Below are 18,140 nucleotides of genomic sequence, written 5' to 3' on the forward strand. Positions count from 1 at the left end.
AGCTCAGATGGCCTCTCCTCACCATGTCCAAATACACAGGACAAGGATTCCAAGTAGTGAAGAATTTTACCAATAATGAAGAAGTTCTGTAATTAGTGAACATGTATCACAAGAAAATAGGTTAACTTCCTCTGCTTCATCCTTGGAAACACTGTGTTTTCTACCACATTGGCTACTTGGGGAAAAAGAGTCATCATCTTTTTTCCAAGGCACTTTTTCAAGGTATAGTTGAGCATCTACTGGTTCCATATTTCTTAGATCATCTTCATGCCACTGAGGATCATACTCTTTTTTTCTCTTCATTCCCTAGAATTTTCCACGCCTGATCAATTTCAATGAATTTCTGTATACAGTCCTCCACTATTCCTGCTGGCACATCTGTACTTTGTTAATCTGAATGCTGCTTTAATGTAAGTTTTTTATACTTTTGTTTTAGGTTTGACACATTTGGGTGTGCCCCCAAAAATGCTATACCAATTATTTTTTGGCATCAGCTCAAATGCCATTATCCATTGAATAAGAACTGGGCCTTCTCAGATGAGCAAGCTTCATCTAGCAGTCACCAGTGCCCACTCTTTGCCTGCCACTGGCCAGAACTCGAAACCAGCTTCTCCTCTCTGTGGTTTTAATTTGCATTTTCCTAGTGATTAATCCTGTTGAACATCTTTTTATGTGTTTGTTAGCCACTCACATATTTATTGTGTGTGAAACAATTGCTCAAATACCTTTTGCCCATCTTTTTTACCCTCTACCCACAACAATTTGTTTTTGATGTCACAATTTACATATTTTTATATTGTATATTCTTTAACAACTCATCGTAGCTTTATTTATTTTTGATGACTTTTTGACTTTTAACTTTCATAATAGAAATTTATATGATTTATACACCAGCGGTATTATAGTTTTCTGGATCTGGCTACACATTTACCTCTACCAGTGAGTTTTATACTTTCATATATATTCATGATGGTAATTATTGTCCTTTTATTCCCACTTTAAGAACTCTCTTAAGCATTTCTTGTAGGGCAGTACTAGTGGTGATGAATTCCTTCAGCTTTTCCTTATTTGGGAAAGACTTTACTTCTCCTTCATTTCTGAAGGACAGCTTTGCTGGGTATAGTATTCTTGACTGACAGTCTTTTTTTTCCTTTAGCACTTTGAATATATCATCCCATTCTATACTGGCCTGTAAGGTTTCTGCTAAGAAATATACTGATAGTTTAATGTAGGTTCTCTTATATGTGACTTGGTGTTTTCCTCTTGCTGCTTTTAAAATTCTCCCTTTGTCTTTAACTTTTGACAATTTGATTTTGTGTCTTGGAGAGGACCTCTTTGGGCTATATCTATCTGGGAACCTTTGAGCATCATGAATTTGGATGTTCATATCGCTCTGAAAACCTAAGAAGTTTTCAGTAATTATTTTATTAAATAAGTTTTGTGTCCCTTTCTCTGTCTCTTCTCCTGTAACTCCCATAATGCAAATACTTGTTTGCTTAATGGTATCTCATAAGTCCCATAGACTGTCTTCACTGTTTTTCATTCTTTTTTCTTCTCTGACTCAGTGATTTCAAAAGACCTATCTTCAGGTTCACAGATTATTTCTTCTGCTTGATCAAATCTGCTGTTGAAGCTCTCTATTGCAGGGATCCCCAACCCCTGGGCCACAGACCAGTACCAGTCCATGGCCTATTGGGAACCCAGCCACATAGCAGGAGGTGAGTGAGTAGTACGTCCTGAGCTCCACCTCCTGTCAGATCAGCAGGGACATTAGATTCTCATAAGAGTGCAAACCCTATAGTGAACTGCATATGTGAGGGATCTATGAGAATCTAGCCATGCCTGATGATCTGAGGTGGAAGTGTCATCCCAAAGCCATTCCCCCACCACCCAGTCTGTGGAAGAATTCTCTTCCATGAAACTGGTCCCTGGTGTCAAAAAGGTTGGGGACCACTGCTCTCTCGTATGTTTTTTATTTTATCAATTGAATTCTTCAGCTCCGTGATTTCTGTTTGGTTCTTTTTAATGATATCTCTTTGTTGAATTTCTCATTCAGACCATGAATTGTTTTCCTGATTTCATTAAGTTGTCTATTTATATTCCTTTATATCTCACTGAGTCTCCTTAAGATCATTATGTGGAATTCTCTTTCAGAAAACTCATACATTTTCATTTATTTGGGGTCAGTTAGCAGAGAATTATTGTTTTCCCTTGGTAGTATCACTTTTCCTTGCTTTTTCTTATTTCTTGTGTCCCTGCATAGGTGTCTCCACATCTGGTGGTATAATCGGCTCTCTCAAACTTTATAGAGTGGCTTTCAGAGGGGAAGATTTTCATCTGCAGATGGGCCTGGGGCTTTTGGTTGAGCAGGCTCTGGTGGCTTTCATTTCATGTGGGTGAAGGGATGTAGACTCCTTGCAACTTCTTCAGTTGTGATCAATATCAGTGATGAATGCAAGTGCCTCAATGGTCTGGGCTACAGAAGTTTGTGGCCATGATGGTGGCCACATAGGTATTAGGTCAAAGGCGTTAGTGATCCTCCTGTTTTTGTCTTCCCCACGGTTAGGAGTCATAAATGAGGTGATTTCTCTTGGTGTTGGGTCTTACAGGGTACACTGGCAGCTGCAGCAGGACTGGGATCTAATGCACAGGTGCACAGAGCAGCTGTGGAGCCAGGGTCTGGGTTTAGGATCTTGTGAAAATACTGTGGCACCTGGGATGTGATGTACAGTTTTACTTTTGAGGCACAAGTGGATACAGTTCTTCCACTAAGCAAGGGTCTTTGTTCTGAGTTATAGCCCAGATACTTGGGCCCACAAGGCTGGGATGTGGCTGTAGTTTTCACCCCAGGGCAGGAGGGCAGCAATTGCATGGCTCTGGAGAAGAAGACGTACTCCAGAGGCTCAGGCCTTGGAGAGCAGAACATAGCTGTAGTTTGGGATGCAGAATCCATATGACACAGCGGGAGCTTGGCCTTTGGGGGATGAGGTACCACACAGTGGTGACTCTGGGCCCTGGGGTAGTGGGACATGGCAGTAGCCCAGGCTCTGTGAGGCCAGGTGCAGGAGCAGCAAGGATCCAAAAGTGGCAGGCTATCACTATGGCTTATGAATCAGCAGGAAGAAAGCAGCTCAGCAATGACTCCACTCCTCAGAGAGGTGGCGTGCCTCAGCAGCTCACACTATGGGGCTGCAAGTCCAATTCCAGGTAGGCAGGGGATTGTGGCTGCTCAGCCAAGGCTCTGATTCCCTGAGAAACAAGGGCATGCATCTGCTTAGCCCCCAGGGAGTGTGGCTACATGGATCAGTGAAGCCTTTTGATCCCTGGGGGATAGGTCATCATGTCTGCTATGGCACTGGGGAACCCAACTACTCCAGTATGCTGGAGGCCTGAGGTCCACATTGGCTGGGGAACCACTTCAGCTCATCCCTAAAAGTGCACCAGCAACTGGGCTGGGGAAACGGAGAAGCTCCATGGTAGCTTGGCCCTAGGGGTTAGGGCATAGCAGCAGCTCAGCTCAAGGATGGTATACTGCCAGGTGGGCATGTTGCAGTGGCAGCAAAATTGGGCAGGCTGTGCCATCCTCAAGGATGGAGAAGTACAATGGCTACTTGCCCTAGAGCAGGACACACCCCAGCAGTGGCTCCCACTCCAATATGGCACAATGTAGTCACAGCAGGGGGCACAGTGGAGGTTGGGGAAACAGTGTCAGCTCCCTCTCTGGGGGTAACTCAGCATGTGGCCTTGGGAGAGCTCTCTCAGCTGGGCTTGAGCCTGTAAGAGTCTTTGGTAGCAAAGACTGCAGTGTCTGTGGAGGTGACAGAAGCTACTGGGATCCTTTTGCTTATCTTTTCCCTGCAGAAAGGAGTCCCTCTTGGTTCCAAGATGATCCTAACTGAGGAGATTGGGTGGCAGAGGCAAGGTGTTTCCTTCCTTTCCCTATATGACCATCCTGGGTTTCTGTGCTCTGCAAGATTTCTACTGCTTCTTTGCTGTTCTCCAGAGCTCTCCTTCAGTCCTTTTGGTTGAAATATAGGTGTTTATTCATTGTTTTTTGTTTTCCTGGGTGGGGGGGCGGGAAGAGCACTAGGAGCTTGTAGTCAGTCACCTTGTTGACATCACCTTTTTACCCATTTTTTAAATGGGGTTGTCTCTGAGTTATTGAGTTCTGAATATTCTACATTCTAAATACAAAATCTTTTTCAGAAATATGTATTGAAAATACATTCTCTCAATCTGCGGCTTGTTCATTTCCTTAACAGTATCTTTAAAAGAACATAGTTTAATTTCATGAAGTCAAATTTATTAGTTTTAGTTTTATCATTTCTATTTCTTGGTTTTTGTGTCCTAAGAATCTCTGCCTATCCGAAAGTCATGACGATTTTTCTCCTAATTTTTCTGGAGGTTTTATAGTTTTAGCACTTACGTTTAGGTTTATAATCCATTTCGAGTTGACTTTTGTGCATGGCATGAAGTAAAAGTTGAGGTTCATTATTTTCCTTATGAGCATTCAGGCATTCCAGCACCATTTGTTGAAAAGACTAACCTTTCTCCATCAAATTACCTTGACAAATTTGTTGAAAATCAATTGGCCACCTATGTAAGGGAGGATTTCTGGACCCTATTCCATTTCATTGATCTATGTGTCCATATTTATGCCAATGCCATGCCATCTTGATTACTGTAGCTTTATAGTAAGCCTTTCAATCAGGTAGTGTAAGCCCTCCAACACTGTTCTTCTTTTTTAAAGAAAAAATTGTTTTAGCTCTTCTCAGTTCTTCCCATTTTCATAAAAAATTTAGAATACCATCATTAAAAGGTATTTAGGAATGTGGTAAGTTTCACTGTGTTGACTGTAGCAGAAAAAAAGATGAAACTAGATCCAGAGATGAAAACTTAGATGCAAGTTGGAGGTTGGTTAGTTCCGTGCAGTGATGGGGAAAATGGCCTATTACCAGGATGCAGTATTATTCTGTCAGTAAATAACAGTTCTACACAGAGATGTGTTCTCCACGAGCCACCCACTCCCTTTCTTCAGGAGAGGAATGTCTTTCAGATACACATGCCACGCAAGTACATTGTTAATGGTAGAGACAATCAACCTTCAAAGTCCCGCCTCTATTTCACTCCTGTCTTTTACCAAATCTTCTCACCTCTGGGTGAGTTGACCTGGACCACATGGGGGTACTCACAGGTATGTGGAGGGTGGTAATAAAACGTCATGATGGATGAGGAGGTTTGAAAAGGATGAAGCTCTACACCAATATAAGGGGTTGTTATTAATAACACTCTTTATAATATTTGAAAGAGGGTGGGGTGTGTGTGGGACCAAAGCTGTCTTCATGACTCCAAAACTTCAGTCAGTCACATGAAAAGAGCAGTTTACCTTATGTTTGGCATCAGGTGGGTTTCCACTTGTTGAAACTAGGGACTCAGTTTAGGAAAAACAAGAGGGCAGGGTCTGGATCAGGAATTCTGTTAGCACCTTTGTCATTCTTGAGTTAAAGCGTGAAACAACAGTCACCCCTCACCAGCATTCTCCTGTGGTCTGAAGAGTGCCAGAGTCCAGATCAAGCCAGCTAAGAAGAATGTTACCATCAGACCATCCTTATTACATTTACCTTCTCCAGAACGCTGGGTGATCCTGCTGACTATTAGCTGAGAAAATATCGAGGCATGGCTGATAGCATCTCCTCCATATGGAACTGATTCCCATATGAGCAAGTCAGTGTCCCTATGCCTGACTCCTGTGCCTGAGCCCACCTCACCCACACAGACAAGGGAAGCCAGGCTAAAAAGTGGTTGCATGACTCAACTCAGCCATGCCACCTATCAAGACCTTACTGAGAACCCTAGATTAGGCAGCTATGCCGAACATTTATATACTTGGTATCCAGAGACGCCATCGACTCTGAGCACAACATGCCCCACAGTCCCTGAAACACTCCTCTTGCAAAAGTAGTCCTGAAGCTGGTGGGTCCCCATCTACAAGGAAGGGCAGCTTCCCCATCTGTGTCCTTTTTGGGGAGCTTTATCTCACCGAGGCACAGCCATCCTCACTCTCCTCCAGAAGATGTTACTGCTACTGAAATTATTCCAATTTCCTTTATCCCCATGAGCGAGCCAGGAGAAGGCACAGAGGGGGTTTTTGTGGCTCTAGGGGCCATTTCTTTCCATTGCAGAGTTTAACATATTTTAGTATTGTGTGCACTGAAAATAACAAAGGGATAGATTCAAGGGGGGCTGGGCAGGTGGCTTCAAATACAGCCCCTTGTATGGAAAAAGGATCCCGGCTGAATAATGCACCTTCAGCTTCAAAAAAGTATGAAGCGATTTAATTTGTAAAACCAATCAGACTTCAAATAATGAAAATAAAACCAGTTTGAACAATTCTTTCTTATGCTCCCATCCTTTGCTGAACGAAATTAAGATAGGCATATCGCCACTTCACATGCAAGATAAAGCTCTGTTTCACATAAAAGCATCTTTTTCATTTTTTTCAAAGTCTGGATCCTCCTATGTTAATGTTTGAATTATTCCTGAGCTGCAAATTGGAGACCGTGGCATGTCGGTGTATTAACTATGCATTGGAAAACCGGGTGGCAGGTGGGGAACCATCACTTTATTCTCAACCATGTCTTCACATCATACAAACCACATCCCACATCCAGAGCTAACTATGTCCCAGACAAAGAGAAGATGCAGGGACCCAGAGACCAATCAATGTTCAGAAGTAGCAGGACAGAAAATGAAATGGAAAAGCTCCAGCAGGCAGCAAACTTTGCAACAACAAAGGGCATTTTAATGACTATAAGATTTAGCTTGACCCTAGTGCAAGCTGAAATTCAGACAGCTACTTCCTGAAGGGTTAAAGAATCATTGCAGACAGACCAGAACACTAGTTTAAACTTAAAAAAAAAAAAGTTATCCTCTTCCATTGTTGAAGCTGTCATTCTTGCTGAAGCTGTATCTATATAATAAATGCATCCTGAAGAGCAGCAGGAGAAAATCATCAACATTCCACCCATCTTCCCACTGGGCACACCTGGGGACCAGTCACCAAGGGCTGTGGTGTGAGGCTAACTGTAAAGGGACAATTGATCAATAATTTCTCCAAGAGCCCAGGGACTGGGAGAGACTGCCCTACAAGGTTGAGGTAGGACAAGGAGCCTCTTCAGGGTCAAAGGAGTGAAGGCCCAGCCAACATCTTAGCTTCTAAGTCCAGGAAGACTGCAAAGCAGGACACAGATTTTTGCTCACATCTGAATCCTGGAACCATTCCACACTAGAGTAAAACAGAAAGTTCAGTATGAATCAGTGGCCATCCTGTTTCAGACAACTGAAATAAACCCTTGGAACACAGTGCCATGAAGACAGTGAAGAGCCTGGGAACAGGAAAGGATTCCAGGATGCAGCGTCAGGGGAGCCAAGAGCACGAGGGCTGTTGCTGGCCTGAGGACACCTATCACCATGTCTTGAAGCCCCACTAGGAACTGAGGGTAGTGGAAAAAGGATGGAAAGAGAGGAGCATCAGTAACTTACAGACAGGTTTTGCTGGCCCTTTGTGCATATAAGGAGAGAAGGGTGAGGTGAAAAGGGGCCAAGATGACAGTAGCAGCTGCCCAGCCTGACCCAGCACAAGGACAGGGCCTGTAGAAGAGATGGCATTCCAGCCTGTTTACAGGGACCTGTGCTTTACAGCCACTCAACAGATTTGTACTGTTCCAAGCCTGGGAGTAGCTATTTGAGATAGAAATGTGAACAAAAACAGGGATCATCACTAGCACATAGCAGATTCTGAGCACTCAGCAAATAACTGTTGCATAGCCAAATGGTCCCCAATGCTCAAGGACCTACAATGAGAACCTGCAGAAGCAAAAGTCTCCCAGGTACAGGTTCAGAGCTGCCATGTATCCCAGTCAGCACCTCTGTGGTTAGTACGCCTGGAGATCTGTGTACCTTCAACCAGGGAAGTAGCCTCCAGAAAACCTCAGAAGTACCCACACTAGCATACGATTTGGAAACTAGGTGCTGGGGGTAAATAAGGTCCATCCACCTTTATCACTGGAAGCTGGACTTCATGCTTCCTAAAGAAGACACCTCCAAATCAAGGGATAGGACTAAAAAGATGCAACTGGCAGGAGGATATGATTCCTAGATTCCTGAAGGAAAACTCTTTTGTTTAGAGGAACTGGAATCAGCCTGCATGAAATATGATAGTCCTCAATGTGGTACATTTCTCCTTGGAAATTGCAACATGGTATGAAGTGATTGGAGACAGAATGGTCTGTAGTCAGATCGGATGTCTAACCAAATAAAAGAGGTAGGGAGAGTATCAGATAGTGTTCTTTAATTGTGAGCAATGTATATCAGAAGGAAAGAAGGAAGAGAAGGAAGGGAGGGTGGGGGAAAAAGAAAAGAGAAAAAGAAAAGGAAAAAGAAAAGAAAAAGAGGAATTTATCAGAAGGATAAAGTGTAGCTCAGCTAGTCAAAGGTCTTCAGAAAGACAGGAATAAATCGGCCCAAGAACTGCCTTGAGTGACATGAGCTCCCAGGCCATGACCTTGGGGAACAGCTCTGAGGAAAACTGCATTCTACATTCCAAGGCCAGGAGACAGTGTCTGATAGGCCCAGTTCAGCCACATGCTGAAGCTGAGAGGAACAATTTCTGGAATTAGGTGGGGAAAGGTTCCTGAAAGGCAAGAGGGGTCCTCTTATCAAGGAAATAAAAGAACCCCATCACATACGACCCCTTGGTTGCCTGGCACATGAATTCCTGCATATGTAGATTTATGAAAACACACACACACACACACACACACACACACACACTCATACCCCTGTCCAGGCAGCCATATAACTGAAGGGCTTTGGAGGCAGATTGTCAAGGTTTGAATCCTGGCTTGACCAATGCATGACCTTGGGAGAGCTACTTAAACTTTATACGTCTCTTTCCTCATTTGTAAAACAGGTATAATATCCCTACTAAGTGTTGCTGGGAGGGTTAAATAAATAATGCATATGGAATTTTAGCACAGTATCTGGAGTGCCCAATAAGTATTAATTGTGGAGGTTTTCCACATATACTTTTTAAAATCCCCCCAACACCTAACATTGTATTACCATCTCATCTCTTCTCAAAAGGAAACAGCCCCAAACCATTTCTAGTTACTGCATTTAACTTCAAGCCCAAGATCTCTGGATAACATTCATTCCTCCCACCTCAATATTCTACCACCTACAGGCTAAATGGCAAATTTACCCACCACCAACCCACCTTACTAAATGAGGGAGAAGAGAAGAAGAAAAAGAAGGAAAATTTCAAGAGTATAAGATTCAGAAGGCAAGGAGATATCTAGAGAGTCCTGCCCTTTGTATTACCCCACCCCCCAATCCTGAGGAGAAGATGCCAGGTTCTGAAAACACCTGGCTCTGGGTTTGAGAGGAACGAGTCTCTCAAGCGGAAGGGCAGGCTCAGTGGGAAGAGCCCTGAGGACACCTGACACTCTTGACTCTCATTCTGGACTCACCAAACAACCTTCAGACAATTCAGGCAGTTTCATGGCCCCAGAAAACGCAATGTGGCCACCTGCCATCTGGTAGACTGCTTGTCCACTTCTCAGATAGTTGACTAGTAAATTGACTTTGATTGTGGGAGCCTGAGGAGACTGATGTGAGGTTAGCCTGGCTGAAGCAGTCCTTTTTGGACTTGATTTCCCATATATGGACAGACTGAAGGCAGATATTAAAGTCATGTGGGAAGATATAACTGTGCCATTCCTTATCTCTAGGGCAGTGGCCAGAGAGTTCCAAAGTGGAGGAAGTAAAATTTCTCATCTCTCAACTGTGTCCCCTCATCAAGATTCTCTGTATTCTTCTTAAAGAAGAGCCAACTATTTTTCTTCTCACTGTGTCTTATTAAGCCCCTTCTGTGTCAGGCTTCCTGACATGAATGAAAGTGAACTAGACGGGACTCAGGAGACCTCACTTTTATTCCCAGCTGTGTGATCCTGTCAGCACATTGCCCTCTGAGGCCTCGGGTCCCACAGCTGCACGATGATGGGAAGGATGACCTGGTATGCCAGACCCAGCCCAAATCACTCCTGATTCTACACAAGTCTAGAGAACTCACATCCCAGCTGGCCATACCTGGACAACGGTGTCCTTCATCAAGTCCAGCAAAGCTGCTAGACGCTTTCTGGAAGGAAATATGGCCAGGCCCAGATGGTTGATTAAAAACAGAAAGTTCCTGTGATGGCAAACCAGCCATCGAGGAGAGGCATGCAAAGTTAACTGACACATCTGAGCCTCCATTTACTTTGAGATGATTTTTAAATTTCATCTTGGCTAAAGAAACCAGCCCATCTGTCTGGCTTCTGGAGCAATTAGAGAACACAGTAGAACTTGGAAGGCAGAAAGTGAAACAAACAAACAAAAAAGAGTGAGAAATACAACCAAGAATGGGGTGCTTAATGCCTTGGATGTGTCCAAGAGAAGAAGAGAGATGGGAGGTAGACCCTGGGGAATGGATGCAGACTCTGGACCTGACTAGAACATTTTAGGGCCAGATGGCCGCTCTGATGCTGATCTGCTTGAGAAATCCCAGGCAGTCTGTATGTGGGGCAGGCAGAGAACTGGCCCATTTTCCCTTTATAGAATCAGCAGAGAAAAGGGGTAAAGAAACACTGGGCACGATTTAGGGTGGGCACTTGTTTCTTGCCTGATATCGGGGCCGACACTGGAAAGCTCTCTCGGGGAGGTTGTGATCAAGTCATCTGTGTCCATGGAAACTCCAATTATAACCCATTCGTACTGTGGTCTGGACAGGACTCGACTGGACGAGCCCTGGCCTGAAGACAGGGATGGAAAAAAAGCAAGTCATCTACACTCTGGAAAAGATGCAAAACCCTGTCTCAACCCATCTATACTGCAGCCTACATAAGAAACCACATCTCACAGGAGAAGGAGAGTAGGCTTAAGAGGGGAACATCACAGGGAACCAGATGTCAAGAGATACCCCAAGGCCACACAGCAAGCTAGAAACACAAACACTCTAACACATGGTCCAGTTCTCTTTTCATACAGAATCTGGAAAGTGGGAGGGAGGCTTCTTAGAGAGATGATAGGCTGGGAGTTTACACATATGCAGGAAAAAGACTAGGTATTTAGAGCTTGGCTTGGGTGGGGGGCCAAGGGAGTCAGAGGGTCACAGTTATCCTTATACTATGCCCTTGAAAGTAGCAATAAACAAAAAGGGAAAAAAGATAAAGCAGGACAGAGGGGCTGCCGGCCGGCAGTGGGATGCCTACTGAGTCACAGAGCATCCCCCAAGGTGCAAGGAGCTGCTGACCGGAGAGGAAGCAGACAGACACTGCTGGGGTGCTGGCAGCTTTCCTTTCAATCTGGTCAGAGACTTACTCCAAAAGAAATAAGCATTTTCTAATTATCTCTAAAATTGGCATTCCTTCCTCTCCCTTATTCTAAGATTCTAGATACTCAAAAGCTTCACCAGCCCCTTTTTTCCAGAGGGCAGGAGAGGTCCAGCTCAGGCATCATCTGATAAATGCCCACTCCCTCCAGCTGAGGATGGTCCCCAGTGACTCAGGCACAAGCAACCTGTGTGCTTCCCACCGGGCACTTGGGATTGATGGCTCTGTCCTAAGAGTAGGACCCTGCTAAGGTCAATCTAGAGCCAGGTATCTCTATCAGGCAGGCCCCACACAGGCTCTGAGGAGCAGGAAACCTGTTAGGTAGTCTGTGATCACCCAGGGCCCCCGAACTTGTTTACTAGAGTGAGAAGAAGGGGAGGTGTGTGGTGCAGGTACCAACCTGGGCCTGTGTACTGATCCTCACTGGGCCTGCACTGTGGGCCCCGAGGAAGATGGCCCTGCACAGGGGGTCAATCCACAATCAGCAGACCCTAGAACTCCCAGAAGAGACACTGGGCAGAACCAGAGGGCTGGAGACACTCCAGTAGGTGCCATCTAAATTACTCCCTGCACATCTCTGGAGCCTGTCTGTGCCACAGATGCTTTAATTGCCCTTCACTTCCCTAGTCCAGCCCTAGGAACAGGGTGAGAAACTTCCAGAAAGCCCATCCGTCAGCAGGTTTCGTCTCCCCACCCACACCCAGCGAAAACTACCATCTCACCAGTACTGCTGACTACCCCTTGCACAGCCTCCTCCCGGCCTCCCCTTTTCACCCACTTACATCGGTCACACACTTCCCACTGCCCGCCCAGCTCCAGATCCTGCGCTTGCCCACTACCACTGCTTTCCTCTTTGCTTTTCCACAGGTCCAGGCCCTCCGGCAGCAGTGAATTGAGAGCCCAGGCCTGCACGGCCCACAGTGCAGGGGTCCCCGGGCTCTCCATCCCCACTTCCAGTTGGCTACCCCTGATGAAGGGGCCACCTGAGGTGGCTCAGAGTAATATCCAGACCCAGCCAGTGAACAGGGAGATGGATGCTGCCGGCTTTGACTTCTCACTGTGTGTCACTGGTTCCAGGTCCACCAGACCCCTCATGCCACACATGGCTTCTCTATGCTCAAGTCCGTAATTGCATTCCTTCCTGAACAGTTCAAGTTCTGACCCCCACCTAGCATAGTGCTTCAGCCCATGGGAGTTTCTCAGATACTTGTTGAATTCACAAATAAATGGCACTTATCCTCAAGGTAGTTTTCCCCCAAGAAATATATGTGGTACATATCTCTGAACTTTTGTACATAGGAATCAGTCATTCTGTTGTCTTCACTCACATGTAAAAACCAGCTTCATTGGTTATAACACTCTTAGATTCCCAGTATATCTCATGGTGGGTAATCTAGTTTTTCTGACTACATGCTTGCAATGTAGGTAGAATTTTGCCCTCCGTCCTTGAAATTCAAAAATGTTGCCCGACCATCTGAAACCCACTGATCAACATTAACACTCCTATATGTGTTATACCTAGACATTGGGTACCTCCTGATATTCATAATCACATGCACAAAACACCCCCATGTGAAGTATTCTGGCCAAAAATACTGAACCCAAATCAAGGTTCTAGAGCAAACTTCCATTTTCAGGAAATAGAAAAGGCAGAAGAGCTAGTTAAATGACACTATATGGAAGTTAACAGAAAAATCCAGATGGTGGGACATTCTGTAAAACAACTGACTCTATTTCTATAGCATGAAAAAATAATAATAAAAGGAAAGGTGTTCTGTAGATAAAAACAGATTAAAATAACAACTCCATTAGTTATCTATCACTGCATGACAAATTACTCCAAATTTTAGTGCTTAAAACACAACAAACATTTATTAGCTCATGGTTTCGTGTGTCAGGAGCTTGGAAGTAGATTAGCTGAGTCACAGTGGCTTGGGTCTCTCATGAGGTTGCAGTCAAGATGGGAGCTGGGGCTGCGGACTCATTCAAAGGTCTGACCGAGGCTTGGATGCTCTTCCACGTGGGCCCACTCCCATGGCTGGAGCATTGATACTGGTTGTTGGCATGACGCCTCAGTGCCTCCCCATGTGGACGTTTCTGCAGGCTGCTTGAGAGTCCTAATAACATGGCAACTGGGTTCCTCAACAGAGAACTCTCTGAGAGAGCACAAAGTGTAAAGCCAAGTGTCTTCTATATCCTAGCCTTGGAATGCAAATATTGTTACCTCTGCCTTATTCTCTGATAAAAGAAAGTCACTAAATCCAGCCCACATTCAAGGGGAGGGGAAGGAGTCTCCATCCTCTGAAGGAAAGAGTGTCCAAAAATGTGAGAACATCTTAAAACCACCATAGCAAGCAAATGTAACATAGAGACTTTTGTTTGGATCACAACTAAGACAAACCAATTGTAAAGGCATCCTGCAGTCAGGGAAATTATATTATGGATAGGTCTTACACAGTACCAAAGATTATTGTTAATTTTACTAGGTATGATAATAGCATTGTAGCCATATGAGAAAAATGCCCACATTTTTACATATGTGTACAAAATATGTGGAGGTGTTATCTGAGATTTGCTGCAAAATACTCCAGCAAAAATTAAAAGAAAGAAAACCAAGGGAAAGGAGAAAAAGAATGAGAGAAGACAAGAGAATAGATGAAGCAAATGTGACAAAATTTTGATGACTTAAAATCTGGGTGACAGGCACACGATGGGGAGTCATTGCACTAACACTCTACATCTGTGTATGTTTGAAATTTTTCATAATTTGTTTTCAAATGCTAGCAGGCTATAGCTAGTTATGGATCTCATTTCACTTATCTTGCTTGGAGCGTGGTGAGCCCTTTCAATTTGTATACATGTCTCATTTCTCAGCCCAGTGTTTTCTTCTATAATATCTTTATTTCTTCTATTTCTTCTGCTCTGCTCTCTTCAGCAAGTTATCCTTGTGTCAGATCCTGGTTATCCGTGTGTCAGATCTCCACTCTCTGCCTTTCCATGTCTGTCACCTTTTCCCTCCAACTCCTTTGCATTCAGAGGGAGCATCTTGTACGTAAACCCTCACCATCATGGGTCAACAAGTGAGAATGAACAGCGGGCTGTGCAATGCAGGAACTCAAAGAACAGGGGGCCCCATGGGACTGTGCGAGGAGGCTCCTTATCACAAAGTGCCCCTCATGCTCTCCCTCTTCCCAACAGGCCTTGCAGCATTGAAGGAAAGTCCCTCTTCACAAACATCCATTAGAAGGGAGTCCCCTGGCAAGCCCCAGAAGCACCTCATGCCTGACCCATCCCACAACCAACATGAATTTAGAAAAAAAAGGCCGGCCGAGCACAGTGGCTCACGCCTGTAATCCCAACACTTTGGGAGGCTGAGGGAGGCATATCACGAGGTCAGGAGATCAAGACCAGCCTGGCCAACACGGAGAAACCCCGTCTCTAGTAAAAATACAAAAATTAGCTGGGCATGGTGGTGTGTGCCTATTAATTCCAGTTATTCAGGAGGCTGAGGCAGGAAAATCACTTGAACCAGGGAGTCAGAGGTTGCAGTGAGCCGAGATCGTGCCACTGCATTCCAGCCTGGTGACAGAGCGAGACACCATCTAAAAAAACAAACAAAAAACAGGCCACAGCTCATTCCTCACGATGGCTTTTTCTTTTCCTTTGTCATTCCCTTCACCAAAACACTTGCCTGTCCCCAAACAACCTTTGCCATTTTTAATCGCTGCGGCTGCCTTCCTGTTTCTGAGTCATAGTCTGTTAACAAGGGTCTGAGGATTTCTTTGCAACTATAGAAATAGAAAAACATATTTACCAACCTGCTAGCGTGGGTCTATTTTCTCACAAGCAATGCGAGGCCTCTGCAAGCTGAAGAGGGACCTCACGTCTCTATAACAATGTGGATTCTATTGTTATGACCCCTCCATTTGTATGGTCCTAAGCATAAGATAAATGTGTTCCTGAAAACCTGCCCTAGTGCTTCAGCTCTCCTGAAAGAAGGAGAGAGAAAACAAAACTGCATCATGGTAGAGTCGTGAAAACTAGGATTCACTTCTCCACTACCCATTTTCTGACTCAGTAAGACAAGTCTCCAGTCTCTGATGTTGAAATGCAGAGGAAGATGACAGTGGGTAGAAAGGTTTGTTACCTACACTTGACCATCCCTGGCATGGATGCTATCAGGTGACAAGGAGGCAGGATGTGCACAGTGCCTGGAGGATGGAGGGTACCAGGAACCAACTGTGCAGGGCCTTGCAGACCATGCCGAGGAGGCTTCCAAGGAGTATAGGCCTTGGCCTACGGTAAAAGGAAGCCAAGGAGGATGTGTTCAGTTGTATTCCAGAAAAACCTTTCTGTCCACAGTGCAGGGAAGGGACTAGAAGAGGCAGAACTGATGGTAAGAAGGCCTGTTAGAGGTTGTTTTCAAGTCCAGGATACCAGTTATTACTTCAATTCTGGCATTAATTACTTTCATGCACAACCCACTCCCATGGATACCTCTGAATCACAGGCTCTGAAGGAGGGAAGAGAGGCTGCAATTCCCCTAACTTTTCCTGGAATGGTACCTCTTGTCTTCCATTAAAGCAACAGCAGAAGGAACATGAGATTTAAAGCCACAACCTTGATTCTGCTAATCTGAAAAAAAGAAAATTATTTTGAAACACTGGTCCTTTAGTGGTCAGTCATTTGTGACTTGTGACCCTTTTTGCCACCAACCTGGATGCACAAGGAGCAGGTGGCAGCCTCACAGTCCAGACAAGAGACACCACGGGTCTGTGAACCAGGGGTGCACAGTGGAGAGAGAAGTGAGGGAGCAGACATGAGACAAGCTGAGGACGTACAGCCAAAGGCACTGGTGCCTGGGTCCCTGCTGAGCAGCCCCTCAACTGCATTGCAGCCTGCTGGTGTCCAACCTGCAGCATGGCTCCCCAGAACAGCAGGAGACAGGTTTGCAGATGGACTGCAGCCTTGTCAGCGTCAGTCATAGGTCCAGCAATGTGAGAGGCTGGCTGTGGGAGACGTGTGCATTCTAAAGCTGGAGACGTGCCCACAGAGAACAAGGGGATCTTTTTTAAAAAAATGTTTGTGGGTACATAGTAGGTATATATATTTATGGGGTACATGAGATGTTTTAATATAGGCATGCAATGTTAAATACGCACATCATGGAGAACAGGGTATCCAGCCCCTCAAGCATTTATCCTTTGAGTTACAAATAATCCAATTATGTTCTTTAAATTATTTTAAAATGTATAATTAAGTTATTATTGACCATAGTCACCCTATTATGCTATCACATAGTAGGTTTTATTCATTCTTTCTAACTATGTACCATAGTTAGAAAAAAATGGGTATATTTTTTGTACCCATTAACCCTCCCCACCTCCCCTAATCCCCCCACTACCCTTCCCAGCCTCTGGTAACAATCCTTTTACTCTCTATGTCCATGAATTCAATTGTTTTGATTTTTAGATCCCACAAATAAGTGAGAACATGCAACATTTGTCTTTCTGTGCCTGGCTTATTTCACTTAACATATTGATCTCCCATTCCATCCACGTTGTTGCAAATGCAGGATCTCATTCATTTTTACGGCTGAATAGTCCTCCACTGTGTATATGTGCCACATATTCTTTATTCATTTATCTGTTGATGGACACTTAGGCTGCTTCCAAATCTTATCTATTATGAACAGTGCTGCAACAAACATAGGAGTGCACACATCTCTTTGATAGGCTGATTTCCTTTTTTTTTTTTTTTTTTTTGAGACGGAGTCTCACTCTGTCACCCAGGCTAGAGTGCAGTGGTGCGATCTCAGCTCACTACAACCTCTACCTCCCAGGTTCAAGTGATTCTCAGGCCTCAGCCTCCCTAGTAGCTGGGATTACAAGTGACTGCCACTGTGCCCGGCTAATTTTTGTATTTTTAGTAGAGACGGGGTTTCACCAACTTGGCCAGGCTGGTCTCGAACTCCTGACCTCGTGATCCACCTGCCTCAGCCTCCCAAAGTGCTGGGATTACAGGCGTGAGCCACCGCGCCCGGCCTGATTTCCTTTCTTTTGGGTATATGCCCGGTAATGAACATGGGGATTTTACTGTGTGCAGGAAGGAGGGGCTGAGGACACCCTTGAGGCCTCCCCAGCAGTGCCTGTTTCTCCGGGCTCAGGGTTATCAGGTAGCTCTTGGGACGTGCTTGGACCTGTCTCTGGTTCAATTAAGTAGAAACATTCCATCAGCATCCTAGCCAGCCTGTCTTCATCCGTGGCTCCCACCAAGCCAGATGTAAAGAATCGCTGGACTTCTACCTCCCAACATCACTCTCTCTGTCCTTCACAATATGCAGTCCCAGAGCTCAGAGACTGACTGGATTACAGCCTTCCTAATTCAATTTCCTTGGAGTTTTCTCTCTGAGGAGCTCAGTGCTCTGAACTGTGAACTTACCAAGTTTTGCTTGTTTGTGTGTCTGTGTTTTTATAAGAGCATTTCATAACTCAGACCTCAGTCTCCACTTGTGAAGAGTGTAGAGCAGGACGTGGTCTGAGCCTTTTCCCTCTCCTCCTGCAACCTGAACAGGCCTGGCCAAGGCCACGTATATGATTCAGCACCTAAGGATGGACCACATGAATGAGCCTGTGTACTTGAACAGGCTCCAGATCCCCTCCCCTGCATGCACCACCCCACTCTGCTTGGCCATGGCAGTGGACACTAGAG

General features: G+C 45.0%; 1 protein-coding gene and 1 pseudogene across 1 annotated transcript in view, besides 1 other annotated feature; both read right to left on the reverse strand.

Annotated features, from left to right (window-relative positions):
- The window catches only part of FSTL4 (follistatin like 4), a 645,613-nt gene that overhangs the window by 523,974 nt on the left and 103,499 nt on the right, over window positions 1-18,140 (reverse strand). The window lies entirely within an intron of this gene.
- LOC101060035 (dnaJ homolog subfamily C member 24-like) lies at window positions 67-506 on the reverse strand (annotated as a pseudogene).
- Window positions 15,076-15,276: a silencer, noted in NCBI's record as "peak5468 fragment used in MPRA reporter construct". NCBI's record gives its function as "represses an SCP1 promoter by STARR-seq MPRAs in K562 erythroleukemia cells {active_cell/tissue: K562}" and the evidence as "EXISTENCE:reporter gene assay evidence [ECO:0000049][PMID:32103011]".

The sequence above is a fragment of the Homo sapiens genome, chromosome 5 (genome assembly GCF_000001405.40).
Source record: "Homo sapiens chromosome 5, GRCh38.p14 Primary Assembly".
Classification (NCBI taxonomy): Eukaryota; Metazoa; Chordata; class Mammalia; order Primates; family Hominidae; genus Homo; species Homo sapiens.